Source organism: Homo sapiens, chromosome 4 (genome assembly GCF_000001405.40).
Source record: "Homo sapiens chromosome 4, GRCh38.p14 Primary Assembly".
Taxonomy (NCBI): Eukaryota; Metazoa; Chordata; class Mammalia; order Primates; family Hominidae; genus Homo; species Homo sapiens.
Window position 1 is genome coordinate 182,640,049 of NC_000004.12, and position 26,724 is coordinate 182,666,772.

The window sequence follows — 26,724 nt, forward strand, 5'->3', positions numbered from 1 at the left end:
CACTGCACTCTAGCCTGGCAATAGAGCAAGACTCTGTCTCAAAAATACGTAAATAAGAGTAATTTTGCTGATTTCTATTCATATCAAGATACACTGATTTTTCCCTTAAGGTAATACAGAATTTCCTTTAGAAATAAATGTATTAAAATTTTAAGTCAATCACTTAAAAAAGAAGTATATAAATGTAAAATACTGACTTACAAAATAATACTATAGAAGGTTCACTATTATAAAGGTGATCGGCACATTTTTACCAATACAGGAATCACTGCTGAGGGAACTGAAAATGCTGTGGGGCTTTTCCACTGGGTTTCCCAATTTTATTCCAGATCCTTAATCTTTTTGTTAACTACATTTCTAGTTTTAACAAGCTAATTGCATGATATGGTTAGTAAGCCTATATGAGTTACATAGAATTTGTTTATAAAACCTAACTATATTGTTTCAGTCATTTCAAATAATCATAAATTTTACATTTTCCATTTTTAGAGTAATGATATTTTTAGATGCCTTTTTTTACTTCTTCAAATACATTCTTCATGATCTTGGAAAAGAGTCACATAAAGAGAAGCATTGCATGTTTAAAATAAGAAAGTGGGCCATTTATTTTTAGGAAAGGAGACTGAGACCACCAAATACAGAAGCAGGCTGGCAGTGTGGGCAAGTCTCCCAGGGATCAGAGACTGCAGCTTCCTCTGTGTTTTGCTTTGAAATATATTTCCACAAATGCTCCATAAATATTCATTAATAATGGTTAAGTTAGGAGTAACTAAGGAAAACTGCTCTCCGAGTGATCCCAGATGAAGAGGGAGCAAATGGAACGCAGGCTTCATAAGAACGTTTTTCTCCTCTGCCTGAGGAGTAAGATGAGACACTCATGGGAGACTGATGTCCTCTGTCCAAATAACCCTTACCTACAAGGTGCTGCAGGCACCCAGAGGCCGTAGTGGGTTCCACAGCCCTCTGCTTCTCACAGCCAGCTGAACTTGATAAGGCAGTCTCACAGCCAGCCGAACTTGATAAGGCAGATACCCACTTCATCTTAGTTGACTGAGTGATAAACAACAAATCACATGAGCTGCTCGTGCCTACATTACTGAAGGATCATTGATTCTGTTTCAAGTTTCCTCTTGACATACACGTGCACCTGTGCAAACACACACACGTATACACACACTCACGAATCAGTGTCTGTCTCAAATGTAACGCCTTGGAGAACTGGACTATTACATAGGAGCTGTTTTTCGGATTTTGCCATGTTTTAATATACTGACATTCTTCTAAGGATCTCCATATTTCAATAGTTGGATCTTTCAGTAATGGTGATTACAATGCCTTAAAATTTCAAAGAATTGTAATTTTCAGTTTGTATATTTTACCATTTTTTAAAAAGCCAAAACAAGTGAAGAAATAATTTTATGCTTAAGTCAGTAGCATACATAAACATTTGTTACATAAAAGTAGTATGCAGTTTTTTTTTGTTGTTTTTTTTTTTTTGAGACAGAGTCTTGCTCTGTCACCCAGGCTGGAGTGCAGTGGTACCATCTCAGCTCACTGCAACCTCCACCTCATAGGTTCAAGTGAATCTCCTGCCTCAGCCTCCCGAGTAGCTGGGATTACAAGTGTGCTCCACACGCCTGGCTAATTTTTGTGATTGTAGCAGAGGCGGCGTTTTGCCATGTTGGTCAAGCTGGTCTCAAACTCCTGACCTCAAGTGATCCACCTGCTTCGGCCTCCCAAAGTGCTGGGATTACAGGCGCAAGCCACCGCGCCTGGCCTATGTGTGCAATTCTTAAAGCTGTTATGGGAGAAAGGAACCCAAATGAAAATTGAGTGAGTACTGCAAGCCTTTGAATAATGAGATAGATCTATTGGATTTCAATGGCAAAGCTGCAGGTAACTCACTAATGAATCATCTATTACATACATTTCACAATAACAACAAATTCAATATTTTGGGAAGCAGGGAATAACCCACAAATCATGTAAATGATTTCATTCTGTATTTTGAATGTTATTGAAATAAGTCCTCTTACCATACTCTTCAATATTGACAAGTATTATCTCAAAAATTCTCTAGCTTATAGGTAATGGCTGACCCCTTTGGGCAGCTGATCGTGACGGTTAACACTTTGTTCTTTCCATTACATTGGAGGATGAATCCTTCTTTTATTCAGAGAACAGACCCTTTAAGCAAGAGAAAACTAATGAAACATCAGGAAAACAGTCTGTTTTAGAAATTCTAACTTAATTCTCTCTGTGACAGAAGCAACAGCTTGATTTTCGTTTTGTCAGCTTCAGCATTGGCTGTCAAAGGCAGCTCTGGAATTAGCATTTCCTGAGCCGCATCCATAGGTGTCTTACTCTGCATCCACGTAGTTCAGAAAGAAAAAATGCAAGGAAACTTTCAAGTAGAATTGTTTAATGTTATCATTTATAAAAGAATATGAGTCAAATATCCTGGCAGAAACAAACCTTCAAAGCTAAATCACTGTGTGTTCCCATCAAGGCATTTTGATAGCCAATATGATTCTTTTTTCCCATTAATTGCATTATGCCAAGAAAGGATGGAAAGGAAAAACAGCATAGAAATATAAAATATTGGCAGCCATTCTGTATCTCCCTCCAAACCTGTTCGTTCATAAAGCCTATACTTTTAGAATGTTATCATGTAATACAAAGAGGAACTTCCTATATCAAATGTTAGTTCTTTTGAATATAAATATCCTACAGTTGACAGAATAATTTTATTTTCCTTAATGACAACTAGAGTGCATATTAATATGAAAGCTTTCAAAAGAAATATTGATTTAAAATAACAATATTTGGGTCAGCATGCTATAGAGTGTTGAAATAATATTAGCCTTAAAAGTTAATAACAAATAATAATGAATTAGAATGCCAAAATATTGCCCAACACATTCTGTCAACACGTATATGAACACAGCAGGAAATCCAAAACAAAAGCTAATTTATAGAGAACTCTGTGTTCCTAATGACAGTTTAGACCAGTAGGGGTCCAAGTTACAAACTGCAGTCTTCACATGCGATACTTTCATTTTACATTGAAAGCTTGGTTGCACTCTGGATACATGTAGCCAATCAAATGATTGCCCTATATTTAAGAGTATTTTTCTTATTTTTTTCTGTGAAATCTGATTATTAGCACATGAAATACACATGTGCATCGTGTATATTTATGTATTCATGAAATTGATACATAAAATGAAACAATTCTGCATTCAAAGCCCAAGATATCCAAGGAATCGTATGTATAACATGATAGTTTGACTCTATGCAATGTAGTTTTAAAAATTAAAATCAAGAACAACATCGGTATTCTAATGTGTTGACATCTTATTGATGCCAGATATTTTTCCCTGTGCTCAATAATTTAGCCTAAATATTTGTATTTTAAAATATATTAACATCATAGAATATAAATCTGGAAGAGACCTTAGAGGTCATCTAGTGCAAACCCTTCAGATTTTCTTTGTAAATGAGAGAGCCAAGCCTCAGAAAGATCCAGTAACTTGCCAAAGTTCCACAATTATTTAAAGCCAGAATTCAGACAGGGACTCCAGTCTCTTTTAATACAAACAAAAGGCCCCACAAGATGCAATAGACAATCTGTGTTGAAAACAATGTACTTACCTATGTAATGTCAGACTCTGATTTTATTTTCTGCAACTTAATATGTTCCTAATGAATCTTTCTCAGAAAGATTCCTTTTGGAAGTGTACCACAGTGAATGTGAAGTGAATTGCAAGAAAGGGAAACTCTACATCCTTGCTTGCTTTGATGAAGTTTTGAGGTTTGGGAGACTAAACAAAATGGAATGGCAGGCATTTTCAGCATGGTATTTTTAAAGTCAGTTTTTCTTATCAGACTCTCTTTCCCATATTACCTCATCCTCTTTGTCTTTGTGAGAATGTTCACTTGATCTTGTAATATTAAACAGCGTTTAGCCAACCCTGGCAGGCCCTCCCAGCACGCTACTCTGTGTTGCCAAAACCTTAGAGCACACTCCTCAGGGTTCTGGTGGCACACACCACCTTCAGGTGACTGATGGCTGGGTGCTCGGGTCTGTGTTCCCTTCACAACATCCCCTGTAATTTGCTCCAAGGTTCTGGCAATTGCTGGACTATGTCACCAGCTGTCATCACCCTTCCTTCCCATCCATTTTTGGCAGGATCTGGGGACTCAAGCATGCCAGTAGAAATAATAGTAGCTGTGGTAACAACTTCAGTGGCATGGTCCCCAGAGACGAGATCAAAATTTGGCACCTTTTTCTCTCAACATGGAGCTAAAAATGGCACTGAATTTGTTACTTGGTGGTATATAATTTTCTTTAATTACACATTTTTGGTTTCAAGTGTTCCACATGCTGGCTTTTAAGTGTGACACCAACATATACGGGTTAAAAACAATGGCATGCCCCCTTTTTATTTTATGGGGAGGAGGTGAAATAACTATAATACCATGGATTCCGTTCGTCTCCAGCCTTGGAAAATAAAAGGAATGCATGCTGTAATTTCTCTCACTTTAATGGTCTTTGTGTGTGAAAAAAAATTCCTTCATAAAATTTTACTGATAAATCTTTATTAACATATTGTCTCAAAATTATTTCAATTAATAAGGTTTTTTCTTAATTATTGGAAAAATCTACAGAAACATACTAAGAGTTTGCAGAATAATTTTTTAATTACATAAGAAAGATTTAATTTTTAACATCTGAAAATGGTTACAGTTCATGAATACCACAAGACAACCTAAAAAGATGCAGTCTAGAGTAGCCTATTTGGCTGTTAGTAACAGAGGTTTTGACCACGATCAATGACTTCATATCCATGTTAGTCACTCCTGAGTTGATATTACTATAATTTTTTTTTCTCATTGACTTGGGTGATAGTATAAAAAGTATACTCATTAATTTTATAGATGACAAATGTCAGATGTTACAACTTATTTTAAAGGGATCCCTGTGCTACTTCAAACTTTACTAAAGACAAAGCAAATGGTTTTTATCTTCATAATTGTTTTGTTTTCTGGGTTTCTTTTTTCTGTTCATGATATCAGTGACTTCACTGCCCAGGCTAAAGTGATATCATGAACAGAAAAGAGAAACCCAGAAAGCAAAACAATTATGAAGGTAAAGACCATTTATTTTGTCTTTAGTAAAGTTTGAAGTACCACAGGATTTCTAGGTAGGTCTAGTAGAAAAATGTAAAGTTTGAAGTATAGCCCAGTCAGGAAAGAATTCAGTGTTAAGAGATACATATTTCAAAGTCATCCATCCACATGGAATTGGAAGTTGATATTATAAAAGTGGTTAACATGAAAGGAAGGTCAAGGAAGGACTTTGGCAAATGTCTATATTTTGGGGAATACATGGAGGGAGGCATTGTATAAGTCAGGAGTAGGCAGGTTATGAAGTGGTAAAAACAACCCTAAAAACCTAAATGGCTGTATCAGTTTGTAATTGCAACTGGGCCCAACTTAGCTGGGTGCCTCTGCCTCACAGTCTGTAAGGTTAAGTTTACAGTCAAACTACAGACTGGGGCTGCTGTTTCATCTGAAGGCTCAGCTGGTGCTGCAGGATGTGCTTCCAAGCTCACACACAAGGTTTTTGGCAGACTTCAGTCTCTTACCACATGGGCCTCTTTATGAGGCTGCCTCATAATATGACAGCTGGTTTTCCCTATGGAAAGCAGTCCAAAAGAGAGAGAGAACAACCAAAAAAGAAGCTGAAGTCTTTCGTAACCTAAGCTCAAAAGAGACATTGCATTATTTCTGCCATATGCTTTCCATTGTAAGCAAGTCACTAAATCAAGCCTAAACTCAAGGGGAGTAGATGATACAAGGGCGTGAATACCAGAAGACAGGGCTTATCTGGGGCCATCTCAGAGGCTACCTACTACAGTGGCTTAACATGATGGTTTATTTTTGCTTAAGCTACATGTGCAGGGTGGTTCTTGTCAAGGGGTTTCTGCTCACTCAAGGCCCTAGACTTAACAGAAACAGTACTCAGCACATTTGCATGATTACTGCATGGGAATGCAACACATTACATATTGGTTCTTAAATCTTCCTCACAGAGGTAAGACATACTACTTTTGCCCACATTTCTTTATCTGAAGCAAAGTTATAAGGCTTCAGAAGAGCAGGGAAGAGTAACTCCAATATATGTCCAGGAGAACTTAGTTATTTGTGAATAGCCTGTAAGACTTCCACAAAATGATTTAAGGAGAACAACTGGGAACCAGCAGAGAACTGGGAAGAGAACCAGGAGAATTATGAAAGGAAAATAAAGTATTGATGATGTGTGGCTAATAATGCCCAGTACTCTTGAGATGTAAACAGGATGAATATTGGCACGAGGCTACTGGATGTGGCAATTTAAGAGATACCAGCTGGGGATGGCGACTCACTCCTGTAATCCCAGCACTTTGGGAGGCCGAGGCGGGTGGATTGCTTGAGGTCAGGAGTTCAAGACCAGCCTGACCAACATCATGAAACCCCGTCTCTACTAAAAATAGAAAAATTAGCTGGATGTGGTGGCGGGTGCCTGTAACCCCAGCTACTCAGGAGACTGAGGCATGAGAATAGCTTGAACCCAGGAGGTGGAGGCTGCAGTGAGCCGGGATTGCGCCACTGCATTCCAGCCTGGGTGACAGAGCAAGACTTCATCTCAAACATACATACATACATAAAAATAAAAAAATTTAAAAAGAGATACCCATAACCATTGTGAGAAAGATTTTAGTACAGTAATGAGGAACATCAGTTAAAGTGAGGAGAAAAGAAGTGTGTGCTGAGGAAGTATGTATTGTGGTCTCTTCTTTTGAGATACCTGGTAGTAAAGGGAAGGAGAGAAATTAAGCAAAAATTTGAAAGATATCAGAATTAAGAAACCCTTGAAAATCCTGATTCTGTAAGTAAGCATGACATTTATACCCCAAACATTGCTTTTTCATCTCTTCTAAACCATTTGTAAACATGCTTAAGTTGAAGGAGCAAACACAGAGACCTTCAGTGTACAGTCAGATACAGTAAGATGCTGGTCACTTCATACCGTCTGGGTTAAGTTTCCGACTTTGTGTCACAGTCCCATTTCTTCATCTTAACAACAACGATTTTCTGCAGGGTGACAAGTTATAATAGTTTTTGTTTTTAATTCTGGTAAGAAACACACAACATAAAATTTATCGTCTTACACATTTTTAAGTGTATAGCTCAGTAGGATTAGCATTGTTGTGCAACAGATTTACAAAATGTTTTTATAGTATGAAACTAAAATTCTGTACCTATCAAACAACAACTCTCCATTTCTCCATCCTCCCAAACCCTGGTCATCACCATTCTACTTTAAGATTCTATGACTTTGACTACTTCAGATAGTCCATGCAAGTGGAATTATACGGTATTTGTATTTTTATAACTGACTGACTTCATTTAACGTGAAGTCCTCAAGGTTTGCATGTCGCATTCTATAGCATGTGACAATATTTCCTTTTTAAGGCAGAATACTCTTCCATTGTGTGTATATACCACAGTTTCTTTATCCATTCATCCATTGATGGGCATTTGGGTTGCTTCCACCTCTTGACTATTGTGAATAGTGCTGGTAAGAACATGAGTGTGTAAGTATCTCTTCAAGACCTTAATTTCAGTTCTTTCGGGTATGTAGCCTGAAGTGGGATTGCTGGATCATATGGTATTTCTATATTTAATTTTTTTGTGGAATCACCATATTGTTTTCCCTAGTGTTTGCAACAAAATGTTGCAATCCTAGCCAACAGCACACAAGGGTTTCCATTTCTTTACATTTGTGCCAAGACAAATCATAATGTTTTTAAACAAAAATCAATTTGGGAGGGCCATGAGCTGACAGTCATCACCACAATACATGAATTTGTTTAATCGTATTGCTTTCCTCCTTAAAGTTTGCACTTCCTGAGATTTGCACTGAGGAAAGTCTTTCCTCACTCTTTCCTTTTCCTCCCACCTGGTGGAGTCATGTGCCCTTCTTCTGTACTGTCTTCACTCTGCATCTGCATTTATTTGTTACCTCTTCGGGCTGGAGCACAGACCATCACAGTTGACTCACCTGCAACATCATGAAAGGAAAGGCTGCTAGCCTTATGGAGGAAACCACTTTTAGCGAAGATTTAGGGAGGGTAAAAAAATGTATGTTATTTTTAGCTATGCTGGGTGTTAGATGGATTACTTTTAAGTTGTTTTTTTTTTTTTGAAACAGAGTCTCATTTTGTCACCCAGGCTGGAGTGCAGTGGCATGATCTTGGCTCACTGCAACCTCCGCCTCCCAGGTTCAAGCGATTCTCCTGCCTCAGCCTCCCAAATAACTGGGATTACAGGCGCCTGCCACTACACTTGATTAATTTTTGTTTTAGTAGAGACTGGGTTTTGCCATGTTGGTCAGGCTGGTCTCAAACTCCTGACCTCAAGTGATCCGCCCACCTCAGCCTCACAAAATGCTAGGTAGGATTACAGAGGTGAGCCACTGCGCCCTGCCTAAGTAATTTTTATTTAAGTATAATATACATTTAGAAAAGTATATGGATCGCAATAAGTGAACACACCATTGGAACCACCTCCCAGATAGAATGTGAGCAGCACTCCAGAAACCTCTAGGGACTATGCCAGCCACTACCTGTTCCTTCCTTCCTAGAGGTCATCACCATGGTGACTTTCATTCTTCTCAGTTGATTTTACCTGCCTTTGAACTTTATATACATGAACTTATACAGTATTCCCTTTTTTGTGTGTGACTGCTTTCTTTTGCCCAACATTAGGCTTGTGAGATTCATCTATATTGTTGTGTCTGCCAGCAGTTCATTCCCTAATGCTGCTGTGTAGAAGTCCATTGTATATCTGCACTATAATTTGTTTTTCCATTCTACTGCTGGCAGATGTCCAGTTTGGGGTTGTTTCCAGTTTGGGGCTATTACAAATAATGCTTCTGTGAATATTGTTGTTTATGCCTTTTGTTACTATGTGGATACATATTTCTATGGGGTATACAAACAGACTTTTGTAGATGCACTGGGGACTTCACCACCATTTCTGAGATTTTTAATATGAGAAAATACATCCCAATTCCAGACAACCAACTTAAAAATTGTCTTGCAAAATACTCCCATTTATAGTTGGTAAAAATCTTGTATTTACTAGTTTTAACATTTGGACAACTTCTTATTATATTTACCTCATGGGGCAAATATAATCATTCTTTCTACAAAAAAAGAAGATAATGGACTTCAAGGTTTTTTAAATTGTGAAAAACACACTGATAAATATATATCTCAGATAGGCAGTATTGCTGTCATCTACAAATTTCATTCTGCCTTGGATAACATTTTGGATATGAATCCAGGCACTTTCACTATTATATTCACCTAGAAATACATGGAAGTGACATAAAACTAAGAAGCATAATACTAGAAATAAAAATTTTTCATGATTAAATCTACATGATTATTTCTGTAACCTTAAAGTTCACAACTATAATGCTTACTTTTGTACTTTTGTAACTTTTAAGTTGTTGTTTTTTAAGAATCTTGGAGTTAAACAAAATAGCCTGTTCTTAATTTCATTACTATCATCATCATATTACTGTAAAACTTTAGTTTTAGACAGAATAGTGGGAAAGTGCTGCGTAGAATGGTGCCCAGGACACACAGATGTCACCTAGTGATATCCTCGGCCCCAGCCCCCAAGTACTGCCCCAGCCTGCAGTGTCTTTGGATGTAGTAGAGAAGTGTTATCGTAGCCTGTGGCCCCCACACAAGCTGTGTTTCACTTCCTTCTCTATGGATTTTCACATCCCACTACCCTCTGGTAGAATACAGAGGTATGTGGTGATACATCTTTTGTCATCAGAAGGTCGGGGTTTGAGGTTAACATCCATTGCAAACTGCATGCAAACTCTCAAACAACCTTAAACTCTCAACTAATCTCCACTTTCTTGGATTTAAAACGAAAAAAAATAAGTCATAATAACCATTCAACAGAACCTTTGTGAAGATTAGAGATAATACCAATGAAGTACTAGTACAGTTCCTGACACACAGTGTTTGTTCAATGACTGGTTTGAAATGCATATTGCATCATGATGTTCTACCACCAGCACAAGGACCATGTCTGTGGCCGGGGATGCCTGGTATCACTCCTGGCTTGTACGTCTTCACCTGAGACCCAGGGCAGTGAGGGACTCAGAAGAGCACAGCGCCCCCAGCTTCTTCTTGCCACTGTCTGCACACCCTACACTGGGACATGCCTAAACCAAGGATCCTTTGTGCCATCCATGAATAGTGGCAGCAAATGCTTTTCCATGAGTTCAGTTCTGCTTTCCAACTCAGGCATTGAAGAACTGGACTTACCCTTCTTTATTTTCAGATGTATTTTATTTGGCGAATTTTCCCTTTTTTTCTGCCAGATACCCCATTTAGTTTTATTACACCACTGCTCAGTAATTTCTGTAGCATTCTTGACTTTCATGAGTTTGCTGCCTGCCTCTCTCCTTTCTCTCCTTCTTCTCGTCTCTCTCTCTCCTCTCTCTAACTTTGGAGAGTCAGCCCCACTACCACCCTGCATTCGTATGAATATCTTAAATTATGCATAATGAGAGTCAAGGGCATCACTAAATACGAAACACCAACAATTTCAAAGTAGATAATATCCTAAGACCAAACAACTCATTGGTTTCTGTTTTCAATGCAGTATTAAAGAGATAATATTTCTGGATATGAGTCTCATTATATAGCATCTTCAGTAGAACCAGCATCTCACTTTATTGAGATTTTCTGTAATAAAAAAAAATATATATATATATATATATATATATATATATATAAAACAAAGCTGTTGCCTATCTGGCAAAAAATAAAATAGCTCTCCCAACATAAACATTACATTACTTTCTAACATATGACATCTGCGCATGATCCCATGGATTATGTCTACTCTTCAAAATCCATTAAAACCGATAATGTGAGCAAATCTATCAGGCAAGAAGACTTTTTATGTTAAAAGATCACAATGATGACAAATTATTTTGTGTGGAAACTTTGACCCTCTTGGAATATTTATTGCTGCTATGCCAGAGTGTGTCTGTCAAACATTTTACTCTATGCAAAACTAAGCTCCCATTATTTTGTTCAAAACTCGTGAAGCATCTGAAACCCTGAAAAATGTATGATGTGATAAGTGTTTAGCAAGTCAAACACTATGCAATTTAATGCAGAATGACACATGAAGTTATACCTTTTTACATGATGACAACTTGTAAATTGAAGAATCCTATAACCTATATCTTAATCCGTGAAAATCAGAGTTTAGGCCGGGCGCAGTGGCTCAAGCCTGTAATCCTAGCACTTTGGGAGGCCGAGGCATGCGGATTGCCTGAGTTCAGGAGTTCGAGAACAGCCTGGGCAGAACGGTGAAACCCCGTCTGTAATAAAAAAAAAATACAAAAAATTAGCTGGGCGTGGCGGCGTGCGCCTGTAGTCCCAGCTACTCGGGAGGCTGAAGCACGAAAATTGCTTGAACCCGGGAGACAGAGGTTGCAGTGAGCCGAGATCGTGCCACTGCACTCCATCCTGGGTGACAGAGCGAGACTCCGTCTCAGAAAAAAAAAAGAAAATCAGAGTTTAAGAGGAATTGCTGGCCAAGGACAACTTTAGCAGGGAGTGTGACTATATACATTTATTTAAAATATACAGGGTAGATGTCGCTATCTACCTATTTTTGGTATCTTTCTTACTATAGCATGCTTTTATATCAGGTATTATTAACAAAAGAATGTGGACTGTTAATAGAATATCCTAAAACTACCAAATTTTTAAAGTTTAGTTAATTACATATAGTAGTAGTAGACTTTCAGTCAACTGCTTTTCAGACAGCATTATAGTAAAGCAGTCATTCATCCGTTACTAACATGTTCTCCTCTCTTAGCCTTACGCATTTGTTTTCTATGTATTAACTTTTTCTCTAAATTACTATATTTTATCCACACAGTGTTTTCTTAGATTTTTAAAATCTCAGAAAATAGAATATTCCTAACTTTAATTCATTTATTTGACAGATACTTATTGAGACCTACTAGGTATCAGGCACTGTATCCTTATACAAAGTTATATGTCTTATAAATGAGATACGAAAGTCAACTAAAATAGTCTTAGGAAAAACACTTCACCCAGTCAGGGTATGAGGGATGCACAGGTATTTTCCTGTCAGGGAGAAGCATTGCAGACAGAAGGGACTGTTTATTGAGGGGTGCCGTGGTCTAGTCAGGTGACTCCAAATAGTTCGGTAACCTGGAGTCCAGACTAAATAAAATACCTCAGCAGTAAGAACTGTCCAGCTTTGTGCCAGCTCTCCTTCATATGCCCTGTCTAGAATCTTCTGGCCTACACCTTCTCACCTGAGCTTAAATTAAATAAGGTGGTTGTAACAAACCTCCTTTTAAAAATAAACCTAATTTCTAACAATATCACGTAATTTATCCAAGGCTAAATTCTAGACTGAAGATTGAACCAAAGTCTGACTGCATCCAAAGCCCCTGCTCCATGTACTGTAGCAGGTCAGTGCCGTTACTTTATGTATTGGATCTGAAGGGCTTTTTGACAGTGGTAGTCATCACACTGCCTTCTTATTCTTCCTCCATTGCGCTGGTAAATTCCAGTACATACAGTAAGTAAAATAATGTCTAAAAATATCAAAAAAAAGTTCTCTTTCATGATATGGTAATATGACCATCACTGGGTTTCCCTAAAAATATTTAACCTTCCTTAGGGGTTAGTTCCTAAACTATATTCTGTGCAGCACAAATGAATGTTTAGTATATTAGGTGAGTATGACAGCGACACATTTTTCTAAATAGCATTGATAAATTAAGAAAAATAATACACAGGGTATTCACATTTCAAATTATGTCTGGAATTTAAAACTTATGTTTATAGTTGTATAGTCTTCTAGTTATTTTTTAAATTTTTTAAAATAAAGCAAATTAGTAAACATAATCATAAATTTTAATAAATGTATTAAATATAAATTTATGAAATTATTTTACCCACATCAGAAACTCACATGAAATTACCTGACACATGTACATGCTTTTTAATCTGTACCATTATTAAATTGTTTGTCGTCAATTCAAAAATTACTCATCCCAAATTTAGAATATTCAAATTTGATTATATTTTGTACAGCTGAATTTCATGTACCAACAAATTCATCTGTGAGACAAGTTTTTGGGTTTACCTTAACGCAAAGGTAGAGGATCATGTCTCTTAAGAATCTACAGGTGTTGCAGCAAAGTAGCATAAATTTGCAAGTGACCTGTGGTCTAGTAAGTGGCAAATGCTGTTATAGGGTGTTCTACCAGTTACTTAAAAGATGGTGAAAAATGGAACTCAATTAGAGCAAATAATGATTGATTCCTAAGAGTTTCCTGGTACCAATGAAGTGAATAGTATTAAATCACTATTGAAGTGCCACCATATTGCCCTGCATTGCTATGTAAATTATATTTGTTTGAGGAACTCTTTGTTTTATAATTTTCATTGCGCAGTTATCCTTGGTATTTCAGAAAATGGAAATTGTAACTTTACATATGACTCTTGTTTTAAACATGCTTAGCAATTGCCGTTGTAGCTGAAGGCAGCAGATCTTTAAACAACTTGTGTTCTTTACCCCCAGCAATGCATCTCTTTGGCCTCAACTGGCAGCTACAGCAGACTGAAAATGACACATTTGAGAATGGAAAAGTGAATTCTGATACCATGCCAACAAACACTGTGTCATTACCTTCTGGAGACAATGGTAAGCGAAAGAATTATGTATCCTGTGTTTCTCTTTTAACATCCCTTTTCCATAAATTTATTTTTACCCATGCTTACATCTAGTTTAGATGGAACAGGGAAAAGTGTTCGAAATTACAGATATCATCTTTTTATAAGTTTTTTTCAATTAATTTACTTGAAAGGTTGAAAATTCACATTTTTATTACAGGAATAATATGATTTTCTGCCTTCTGATTTGATGGCTAGGCTTTTCTGCCTTTCCCTTCTGCAGATGTATATTGAGTTTTATTTTTAGTCTGCAAATAGATTATAATTCAGTGTATCATCTCTTGTATTACCTTGGGTTTATTAGGTTTTCTTCATTCAACTTGCGTGTGGAGTTGGAACACTGTATTAATTTTATTATAAAAGCATTTAAATGCAAAGCACATTAAAGGATTATAGTTTATTGACCTTTTCTCTGGTTGCCCTTTCTCTAAACCTTTAAGAATTTGCACTTTGAGCTAACAAAGATTTTGAAATCAATTGGCTCTGAATTAAAAATGGAATTTAAGTAGTTAGAGAATTCCATTTTTTCAATATAAACACTTAGAAAAGCGTATACATACATATGTACACTTACGTTACAAATAGTTTTATATTATTTCTGTGTGTGTGTGTGTGTACATGTCTTGGCCTTGGTATCCTCTGACTTTTTGCAAAATATCATAATACTTTATATCTCAGAGCATCCTGATGAAGACGCCTTTTTCTGTCATCTGGTTAATAAATTATTTCCCTTTAAGCATTCCCCTAACTCGTCTTCCTCTTTGTTTCTTGTCTAGTATATTGGTGTTCAGCTTTGGCATTAATATGTCTATCCTCATGTGGCTGGTTTCTTTGCAAGACTGGAAAGAAATTATTCTACATTTAATGAACTTATTATATGTTGCTGTGTCACATGTACCCATTTACTGGGATGAATACTTTGTACACTTTTTTATTCTTTTTTTTCCTAATGATAATACTTTATGACATTCTCTTTCTCCTTAGGGAGGTTGAGGAATTTTACGACATTCGATTTTTATAATAATAGTGAATCCCCCGCCATATGGAACCTTTTTATATAAAGTTCTGCATGTTCCAGAAGAACTGTAAGCTGGTGACTGACATGTCACCCACCTAAAGTAGACAGTGGCAGTCACTGTAGAGGGGGTTAAAGAGGGTTGAAACTATAGATTGGGAAATTTTAATTACATAAATTTCAATTACCTTTTTTATACATTAATAACATATATAAACAAAATGAGTAACTATACAGAAATTAAGAATATTTATTTTGGTTTGTATTGACTGAAATTTAGACTGTCTCTTAAAATGCATGGTTCCTGTGAAGATGATCGAATGGTACTTATTAACCATACATGTAGGGAACTTTTTTACAGACTGAAGAAATTGTAATTATACCAAAGAGACAAACGCTTATTATGGATATTGTATTTATTTTACAACATCTTAACCTTTTATTATGATTAAAATGAAAATAGAGTTTGGCTAATTAGTTTCACAGTCCTGAAAAGCATGATACTGAGAAAGCTGTGGATTTAGAGACTCCCACAGCCTGGGTGCTGGGTGCTGGCTGCTGGTATTTTGCCAGGGAATACCTCTGCTCACGTCAGCACTCCTCAGCTCACAGAAGCCTATATTCAAATCCTCGCTCTTTCGCCTGTTTACTTTGTAACTTTGGGCGGCGTGCTTGGTTATTCAGATTTGCAAGAAAATTTTAGGGCAGCTGTGGAATGGGCTGCCTAGGATCCTATCAGTCGCAGAGGTTTGGAAGAAAAAAGAACATCACATGAATGTGGCCATATTAATAGAAATCTCCGTAAAGCTGGAGTCCTTGAAAACAGTGGCTTTTAAGCTATTGACCATGACAATGCAATAAGAAATACATGTTACATCAAAGCCAACATATACACACACATATACATATGTATCTGAAATATGCTTCCCAAAATAATATTTATCCTTGCCTTGTAAAATGCATCCTGGGATTTTCCATTTTATTTTATTGTATTTCTCATTTTTAACAAACGCCACTTGCAACCCACTAAAATAATTTCATACTTTATGAAATATTGTGCTCTGTAATTTCAGAAATACTGCTTTGGTAGCCTCCTTCTCTAAGGGGGACTGAAGTTCCCCCAAGTGATCATAGAATTCAGTTTTATACAGTTCTGTGCACCTTTAGAGCACCTGTATATACATATAAGCGAAGTACTTTCTTCCTAGATGTGTAAAAGTCTCCTATATAGGGAATGGTTAACGGAAGCCCCAGAATCAGTTAAGTGCACTAGAGAACTGCCAACTGGACTAGGGGATTTGTAGGAATTTCCCTGCATGGAAAAGCTATCTCTCTCTGGGCTCTGACCTTGTCCAAAGAGTGACCTAACTATTAGTTACTTGCCTTCTTTATTATTACTTGAATCGCCCCCAAAACCCTAAATTGTAAGGAATTCTTGTTTCTGATTTTCCAAATACAAGTTCTTAATATCTCCTAAATATTGTTCTTAAAGACCTGGGGCACAGGGAGTGGACGGGAACTCTATTTACAAGGAGGGAGGTAGCTGCAAACCGCTGCTTTTCGGCTTTCGTGATGAACCTCAGTGTCCATGCACCACCACCCACCACCCACTACTTAAATTTTATATGCTATCCAAGAAGCAGATCACATCATCTCTTTAGAAATTCTAGGAGATTACAACCCTTGAGAAAGCTTTAGAATTCTGAACAAAGCTCACTAGGAGAATGAACTGTGAAAAGCATAGTGAGAAAATTATTTCACAGCTTCTAAATGTAATACTCTTACTTGTGCAGTCCTATTTTACTCTTATTTTGTAAATATAATTCTAAGGAACAATCATTGTGCTAAGGGTGCAGTAAACTCCCTGCTTGCATTTAAGTTAACAGTGAGCCAAAGCTTCTAAATGGTATTTAGTATCTAAAAGAAGGATTTCTGTTATATGCCATCATCCTTTACTGATTATTCCTGAGACCTTCTTTGCCTACAGATTTTAGAGATGAGTTATCAGAAGCGTAGGGTCTTAGACAAAACTGATGGAAATGGACAAAGTGAATAAAGAGGTAAGAATGAAGTTTGTAGCTCAAACACTGGTCTCTTTCCAGAAACTAAAATTATTCCCCTGGCCCAAGGAATTCATTTAGCCTAATGTACTGGAAAGAATCACACAGTTCTATACTCAAATCCTGGCTCCTTCATTTATTTACTTTGTAACCTTCAGCATGTTACTTCACTGACCTCTTTGAGCTTCAATTTCTTCACATGTAAAGAGGGAATAATAGTACCTATCTCCTGACTTTCCAAATTCAACAGTCGGCAGCCCTAGTATCCCTCTCAAACTTCTCCCCACCATACTTCTCAACAACTATTTCAGATCTTCCTGCTATACTCAAACCCCTCTCTCAGCAGATGACCCTGCATTCTATTAAAAAAAATAGAAACTTGCAAGGGGAGCTCTCATTTTCTGTAAACACATCTTTATTCCTCCACATATGTGGATCTATGCTTCCACCTTTTCTCCCCATATTCCAGGTTCATCTTTGCGGGGGTCCTCTTGATCCCATTCTCTCTTCAGAATGTCCTCATTCTACTGATACCATCCAGTCAACATTTGAACATTCCAGTCTCTCACATCTTGGAAAACAATAATCTCTTGACTTTGCCTCCTACTGCCTCTCTCTTCTACCAGCCTTCTTTTTATTTATTTATTTTATTTGTTTATTTATTTACTTATTTTGAGACAGGGTCTCACTCTGTCGCCCAGGCTGGAATGCAGTGGCACAGTCACAGCTTGGCTCACTGCAGCCTTGACCTCCTGGGCTCAAGTGATCCTCCCACCTCAGCCTCCCGAGTAGCTGGGACTACAGGCACATGTCACCATGCCTGGCTAATTTTTGTATATTTTGTAGACAGTGTTCCACCGTGTTGCCCAGGCTGCCTTGAACTCCTGAGCTCAAGCAATCCTCCTGCCTCAGCCTCCCAAAGTGCTAGGATTATTGGCGTGAGCCACCTCGCCCGGTGCTTCCAGCCTTCTTGAACATAGTGTGCTTAGTCACTTTGATCACTTCTCTGCCTTCTGTTTACCCCCTTACAGTTGGGCTTTCACAGTACCCCTAGCTCATGACTTGTCCTCCTCTACCTTCACCACACACTCATACTTCACTGAAACTGATGTCTCCAGAGTTACCCATTGCTTTGTCAGTAGCACCAGTGAAACCTCTTTATTCTTTATCATGTTTGAGTTTTTGGAACCATTTAATAGTTAACCTATCCCTCCTGTTGCAATAGTCTTTCCTTAGCTTCTGTGATACCACATTCACTTTGACTTTCTCCCTGACTGTTTTGGCAATGATGTCTCTGTTTAGTTGACTCACCTCCCGTCTACCTGATCCCTAAATACTGCTGTTTCTCAGGACTCTGCGCTTGACAATATAATCACTCTGGATTCTGTCACCCACTTTCATGGCTCCAGTTACATTCTCTGTGCTTCCTAACTCTCAAATCAGTAAGTCCAGCCTAGATGTCTCTCTTCAGCTCCAGATCTCAACTACATATTTTGTAGACAGTGGTGGTAGTAGTAGACTACATAAAATCTACCCAATTGTCTTTGGAACATTTCCACTTGGGTGTTTTCCATGCATCTTAAACTCCACGTGTCTAAAACAGAACCCATCAACTACTTTGGTTATCTATTACTACATAACAAACCATAACAAAACTCAGTGGCTTAGAAAGCAATGTTATCATCTCTTGTGGTTCAGTGAATTGGCCAGGTACTTCTTGCGTTCTTACTTAGGACACTGCGATTGCTTTCAGATGTTAACCAAGGTTAACCAAAGGCTCCACTGAGCTGGAAGTCCAGGGTAGCTCACTCACATGGCTGGCAGTTAATGCCATCTGTTGACCTGAGCTCAACTGTAGTCACCAGCTGGGGCACCTAGACATGGCCTTCCATGTGGCTTGGGCCTCTTAGAACATAGCAGCTGGTTCTGAAGAGGAATATCCCAAGAGGGAGCATGCCAAGAGCCTGACAGAAACTACCAGCTTTGTATAACCTAGCAGTCGCCATTCTAGGCTTTCACTGCCATCACATTCTGCTGGTCAGGAAGTCAGCAAGGTCAGCCAAGATTCCTGGGGAGGGGAATTAAACTCCTCCTCTTGACTAGGGACCTGTTATGCCATTGCACAAGGGCACGTGGGATGGAAGATGCTGTTGTGGCCATCTTTGGAAAATACAATTGCCAAGCCATCTTTCTTTCCAAATTTGCCTCTCTTTCAGGGATTTCTGTACAGTACCTTCCCACATCCCCCCCTCCACAGTTTTGCTTTTTGTGGTTTTAGTTACCTGTAGTCCACTGTGGTCTGAAACTATTAAGATACTTTGAGAGAGAGAGAGAGACAGACCACATTCACTTAACTTTCATTGCAGTATATTGTTATAATTGTTCTATTAGTATCTTTTTCTTGCCTAATTTATAAGCTATCATAGGCATGGATGTATAGGAAAAAATATAGTATATATAGGGTTTGATATTATCCACAGTTCCAGGCATCCACTGGGGATCTTGGAACACAGACCCTATGGATAAGAAGGGATTCCTATATTAGGAAATGGCACCGTCGTTCACTTCATCACTGGTCCAGGAGGCCCGGTGACTGCTTCTACTCTCTCATCTCCCGTATTTAGTCAGTCTCTAAGTTCCTTCAACTCTGACCCCATAATATCTTTTGAATCCTGTTTTCTCTCAGCTGGATATGGTAGCCTTCTATCTGCGCTGTATGTCTCCAGTCTTGCTCATCCACTCTTCACACACAAATTTGAGATATCAGTTCCTTGCCTAAGCCCCTTCAGTGACCTAGATTCTAGTCAGAAGCCTTTAAATGACTTACAAGGCTCTCCACAGCCTGGCTGTACATCACACCATACTGCAATATAAAAACAATAGCACACAGAGACAAGGAGTGTAGAGTTACGAGCCTCACCACCTGATGTGGTGTCCTAGTTCTGATCATTAACGCCTGTGCTACTTGGGACAGGTTATATAGCTTCATTGTGCCTAAGTGGTCTCATCAATTAAAAGGGACTAATTTACTTCATAGAATGGTCTTTGGTCTTGAATATTCAATGCAAATATACAAAGGTGTAAACATACAATGGTGTATAGTACATAGTAAATGCTTGAAAAATGTTTATGGTTGTCACTATTACTATTTAATGCATCTCATCTTTACTAGACTATAAGGCAAGGATCCTGTCTGTTCTTTCACTGCTGTATACCAAGCTCTTGGCACAGTTCTGGCATGTAGTAGGTGCTCACAAAGTATCAGTTGAATGAATGAGTGAAAATAATACAACTAAATGATATGATATAAAGTATACGAAGGGCCATGCATCAAGTATATGCAAAGTACTAGTATAGAATAGTGGCTAAGAACTGAAGCTCTGCCACTCACTGGGTGCCTTTAAGCAAATTACCACTCTCACCTCCTGTTTCTTTATAGGGTAATATAAAGGTTTACAATGAGGTTTGAATCAGGTCATGCATGCAGGGTGCCAAGCAATGATTGGAACATGAAAGCTATTCAATGCATATCAGTGATTGTTTGCTCTTCATTCTGCAATTCAAGATGATGCACTTGTAATTCATAGCAAAATTTTAAGAAGACACTTCTGCAAATCAGCATCGGTAGTATCCTCTAAAGCAATAATGGAAATCCCCATCATTCGTTATTTATATTTTTAGTTATTTGAATTTTATGAAAGAAATATTATCGTGTATTTTTTAATGCATAGAATTTATTCATTTTACATTTGTCTAATGAGCACTTATGATGTGCCACGCACTGAGCAAGATTCTGGGAATATAGCTGTAAAAGCAAGATGATCACAGCTATTGTTTCCAGAGCATGTGAATTCTAGGCTAGATGGGAATCGAGCGAGTTATTACAGTGAATTAGAAAATCTCCGTTAGGGAAAAGCGGAGTGTACCCTGACAGAACATTTCAACACCAGCTTGACTTCTAAAGGGGCAGTAAGACACATGCCCAATTTTAGCCTAGGATAATTTAGGATAATAAAGACTGAAATAAAAGGCTATATATTACAGGCAATGTAACTATGGCAAGTGACTTCTCCAATCAAAAGAACTCTTTTTGTATGGATACGAGTTGAAAAACTACAAATATGTGTGTATGTGTATATATGCATATGATTTATGCTGCTTAAACAAAACAATTCCAATTGCTTTTAAATTTTAATTTTTTTTTTTTTTTTTTTTTTTTTTGAGACGGAGTCTCGCTCTGTCACCCAGGATGGAGTGCAGTGGCGCGATCTTGGCTCACTGTAAGCTCCACCACCTGGGTTCATGCCATTCTCCTGCCTCAGCCTCCCGAGTAGCTGGGACTAAATTTTACATTTTTGATCATCGTGTATCAACTTTCTCAAGTACTAGACAACTCTAGAGAGTTCAGTCTGACAGCAGGTTGCAGATTCCCTGTGAATTCGAGAAATGGAGCTGACAGGGCTGCAAGAGCACTGAGTTTTGTTCAATAGTGTTCATAGTACTTGTGTTATTACAATGTGTAATAGCTCCTTAATTAGATGCTATATTGATTTTGTCCATTAAGCTATGTTTGCAAAGTAGTTATGTCTTATTTCACTTAGCTTGTGATGTAACACTCTGTATCCACAATGCTAAATTATGGCATGCGGTTGTTTATAAAAAGATATGTTCTCTCAGAGATCTCAAAGCCAGGGTATGAATCCAAGGTTAGGTCATAGAATTGGAGGGTGGGCTACTGATTGTCTACAAATGCCCAACCTTGCTTCCTGACGTCTTAATTATTAGTGCCTCTGTGGGATTTAAGATGATATTATCATTTACCTTCCGCAACAATTGCAGTTAGACTTTGACAGTGAATTTCTTTTCTGCCTTTCCGTTTCACTCATTATAGGCTTGTTTACTCACATCATAGGCAGGTGGCAAATTCATGATATATATGGCAGAAAACTTAGCATTTTATAATTTTCACTGATTTTTCTGATAGCACAAAATAGTTTTCAAACAGATACCAAACCTCCTAATTACCAATATGACTTTAAATCTTCTGTTTTGTCCTTACAGCATCTCGGTTGGTAAACTATTATTTATAAAGTGTTTTTCAGTTCAAAGTACTTTTGAAAAGGCATTATCTGAAAAGCTGTCACTCCACTGATGTGTTTTCATATGAACTGGGTATCACATAAGAAGGAGAGGAATAACAATAGCTTTGCGTATGTGGTCTCTCTCTGTTTTCACACTCTGACAACTGTATTTTAAGACATTAAGACTGTTGTGACACATACTTACTGATGAAAGAAAAAAATCACAGTTAGTAGGTGAAAAGACTGCTAGTGGCTCCCACATTCAGGCACAACAGGACACGTTGAAAAAAACCTTCAAGATGATACCCTATTGTGTTTGAAGACGTGGTACGTTTCACTCTTACTGTGAAGGCTTTAATTGGTTTGATTCCTAACCCACAAGCTTTGAGTTTAGAATAACTACAGGGCACTCTGTTGCCCTGTCTCTATTTTTTCCTCCAGTTTTCCTCCTTTTCCTTTTAGTAAAACCTACAGACAACCTTAGTGTTTCCTATGATCATTCCCAGGTTCAGGCTCTAGGGCTTTATGGAGGTAGTGATCTCAGTAAGGGAGGATAGAGAGCCCTAGAACTGGCCTTTTTTTATTTCTTCTGAAGCCAAAGTTTTCTGGAATTCGGGACATGATGAAAGACTTCTGTGTCCAGGCTTTTATCTAAGAGGACTGATGAGCTTCAGAGGAAAAAGTTGTGCAAGTATTTACAAGTTTATCAAACTGTGTCAATGGCCCACTGACTTCCAGGTGTGTTTACCATCAATAAAGAGCATTTGAAAATGCTAACAGGAATGAACACACTTGACTTGTCCAAATGAGAGAATGGCTGTGACTTGAAAAGCAGCAGTGCAGAATTTAAAGACAAAGCCCCTTCACGAAACCCTAGTCCCCTGTATTCAAACTAGAGGCTTAAACAGGAAGGCTGTACTAATCTAAGCTGCCGTTTCAGTGGATCTTGCAGAGAAAAATCAGTGATGTCCTTATATCTCTACATCACTGATTAGAAAGAGAGGTCAGATCTGCAAGTACCTTTTAGAAAAGACACATTCTAAGACTGTAATTCAGAATAAATTCATTCTAACTAGTGTAATAACTTGAAGCAAATAGAAGTTGACAGGCACTTTAGAGATGAGATTCATATTTCATGGGAAAAGCTAGAATAGATCAGTGGGCTTCAAACTATTTTGTTTTTGTGACCCCCTTCAACAAAATAGCTATACAAATTTAAATTTATTTATTTTTTGAGATCATACGTTTTAAAAAACCTGTTTTCTTCTATATTAAATTATACTTACAATTATTAGTTGTACACATTTGACTGAAAACAACCTAATTCTTATATAAATGTGTTAAACATGTTGATAATTTGAAACACAAAAAGTGAAAATGTATTGAAATATAAATGTGTTAAACATTTTGATAATATGAAACATAAAAAGTGAAAATGTATTGAAAGTACCTCTCTGAAATGAATGGGAACTTTTTTCAAATAGTTTGTATATTCATAGATGAATATACCTTATAAGAATAAAACAAAATTCAGTTTCATTTCTAATCCTGTTTTCCTTTCTTATGAATATAAACAAAAGAAATCTTGCTACAAAATAAGTAAGTGACAATGGGAGGATTTTTTTAAGTGATTCTGTTCAGTTATTTGACATTCTTGTTAGTCATATGTCAAAAATCACATTGTGATCTATTTCTAAAAAATACGTTGTCTATAAGCTGCCAGTTCTATCACATTTCTCATAAAAGCAAGGAATCAGCAACTAACTACTTTGAAAAAGATTTATTACACTGTTTTTAGAACCAATCCTTTTCCCGGTTTCTGTGTAGGATGCCAAAAAAGACTTTACCAAGGCTTAGCAAAATACTGCTAATTTTACCTGTTATTCTTCTACTTAGTGGTACTTTGTTTATCTGGTATACTCAGAATGCGGTGAAAAATGGAACTTTGGCTCATATTAATTCACCTTTGATACTATAATTTTGTAATGCTTTCATCGTATTACAGGAAGATCTTATTTTATTACGCTTTATCATGCCTCCCAGATACCGTGTTTTTTACAAACTGAATGTTTGTGGCAGCCCTGCGTCAAGCAAGTCTATCGGCACCATTTTTCCAACAGCATGTGCTCACATCATGTCTCTCTGTTGCATTTTGGTAATTCTCAAAATATTTCAAACTTTTTCATTATTATTAGATCTGTTACAGTGACCTTCAATCAGTGACCTTTGATGTTGCTCTTATAATTGTTTTGGGGTGCCAGAAACCACACCCACATAAGACAGCGAACTTAATAAATGTGTGTGTTCTGACTGCTCCGTGACCAGCATCCCCACCATCTTTCTCTTCTTGGACCTCCCTATTTCCTGAGACAAAACAGTATTGAAATTAGGCCAATCAATAACCCTACAGTGGCCTCTAAGTATTCAAGTGAAAGGAAGAATCACACGTCTCTCAGTTTAAGTCAAAAGCTAGAAATGATTAAGCTTAGTGGGGAAGGCATGTCCAAGATGAGATCGGCTGAAAGCTAAGCCTCCTGCACCAAATACTTGGCCAGGTTGTGAGTGCAAAGGAGAAGTTTTTAAAGGCAATTGAAAGCACGATTCCAGTGAGCACATGAATGATAGGAAAGCAAAACAGCCTTATTACTGATAAGGAGAACATTTGAGTGGCCTGGATAGACGATCAAACCAGATATAACATTCCCTTGAGCTAAAGCCTACTCCAGAGCAAGGCTGTCTCTTCAAATCTATGAAGGCTGAGAGAGGTGAGGAAGCTGCAGAATAAAAGTTTGAAGTTAGCAAAGGTTGGTTCATGAGGTTTGAGGAACGAACCCGTCTCTGCAACATAAAAATGCAAGGTGAAGCAGCAGGTTCTGATGTATAAGCTGCAGCAAGTTATCCAGAAGATCTAGCTAAGATCACTGATGAATGTAGCTACACTAAACAGATTTTCAATGTAGATGAAAGAGCCTTAGACTGGAAGAAGATGCCATCTAGGGTTTTCATAGCTAGAGAGGAGAAGTCAAGGCCTGGCTTCAAAGCTTCCAGGGACAGGCTGACTCTGTTAGTGATGCAGCTGGTGACTTGAAGTTAAAGCCAATGCTTATTGACCATTCCTAGAATCCTAGGGCCCTTAAGAATTATGCTAATTCTACTCTGCCTGTGCTCTATAAATGGAACAACAAAGCCTGGATGACAGCACATCTGTTTACAACGTGGCTACTAAATATTTTAAGCCCACTGTTGAGACCTACTGCTCAGAGAAAAAGATTGCTTTCAAAATATTACTTCTCATTGACAATGTACCTAGTCCCCCAAGAGCTCTGATGGAGATGTGCGAGGAGGTTAATGTTTTCATGCCTGCAAACACAACATCCACTCTGCAGCCCATGGATCAAGGAGTAATTTCAAGTCATATTTAATTTAATTTCAACTTTCAAGTCGTATTTAAGAAGTACATTTTGTAAGGCTATCATAGATAGATAGTGATTTTCCTGTGATAGATCTGGGCAAAATCAATTAAAAACCTCCTGGAGGCTGGGCACGGTGGCTCACACCTGTAATCCCAGCACATTGGGAGGCTGAGGCGGGCGGATCACGAGGTCAGGAGATCGAGACCATCCTGGTTAACAGGGTGAAACCCCGTCTCTACAAAAAATACAAAAAATTTAGCCGGACATGGTGGCGGGCACCTGTAGTCCCAGCTACTCAGGAGGCTGAGGCAGGAGAATGGCATGAACCCGGGAGGCGGAGGTTGCAGTGAGCCAAGATGGCGCCACTGCACTCCAGCCTGGGCGACAGACAGAGACTCTGTCTCAAAAAAAAATAACACCTTCTGGAAAGGATTTAGCATTCTAGATGCTATTAAGAACATTTATGATTCATGGGAAGAGGTCAAAAGACTAACATTAGCAAGAGTTTGGAACTTAATTCCAACATTCATAGATGACTTTGAGGGTTCACACTTCAATGGCGGAAGTAACTGCAGATCTGGTGGAAATAGCAAGAAAACTAGAATTAGAAGTAGAGCCTGAAGATGTGACAATTGCTGCAATCTCATCATGAAACTTTAATGGACGAGGAGTTGTTCTTATGGATGAGCAAAGAAAGTGGGTATTTGAGATGGAATTTACTCCTGATGAAGAAGCTATGAACATTGTTGAAATAACAACAAAGGATTTAGACTATCATAAACTTAGTAGATAAAGCAGTGGCAAGGTTTGAGAGGGTTGACTCCGATTCTGAAAGATGTTCTACTGTGGGTAAAAAGATATCAAATAGCATCCCATCCTTCAGAGAAACCTTTCATGAAAAGAGTCAATCAATGTGGCAAACTTAATTATTGTCTTATTTTAAGAAATTGCCACAGACACTCCAACCTTCAGCAACCACCACCTTGATCAATCAGCTGCCGCCTACACTGAGGTAAGATCCTCCACCAGCAAAAAGATGATGACTTGATCAGATGATCGGTAGCATTTTTTAGCAATAAAATTTTTTAAATTAAGTTTGTACGTTGGTTTGTAGAAACCTATTGGCTGGGCACAGTGGCTCATGCCTGCAATCCCAGCACTTTGGGTGGCCGAGGCTGGTGGATCGCTTGAGTCCAAGAGTTTTAGACCAGCCTAGACGACATGTTGAAACCCTGTCTCTACAAAAAATACCAAAAAATTAGCCAGACTCGGTGGTGTGCA

At 37.9% G+C, this 26,724-nt stretch overlaps 1 protein-coding gene across 31 annotated transcripts in view; it reads left to right on the top strand.

The window, feature by feature from the left end:
- TENM3 (teneurin transmembrane protein 3) overlaps nt 1-26,724 on the top strand; it is a 1,355,412-nt gene that overhangs the window by 1,192,436 nt on the left and 136,252 nt on the right. For all 31 annotated transcript variants that reach the window (XM_017008385.2, XM_017008389.2, XM_017008390.2 and 28 more), the window contains one exon: nt 13,723-13,845. In XM_017008385.2, the coding sequence (XP_016863874.1) occupies nt 13,723-13,845 (123 nt within the window). The remainder of the gene's footprint in view (nt 1-13,722; nt 13,846-26,724) is intronic.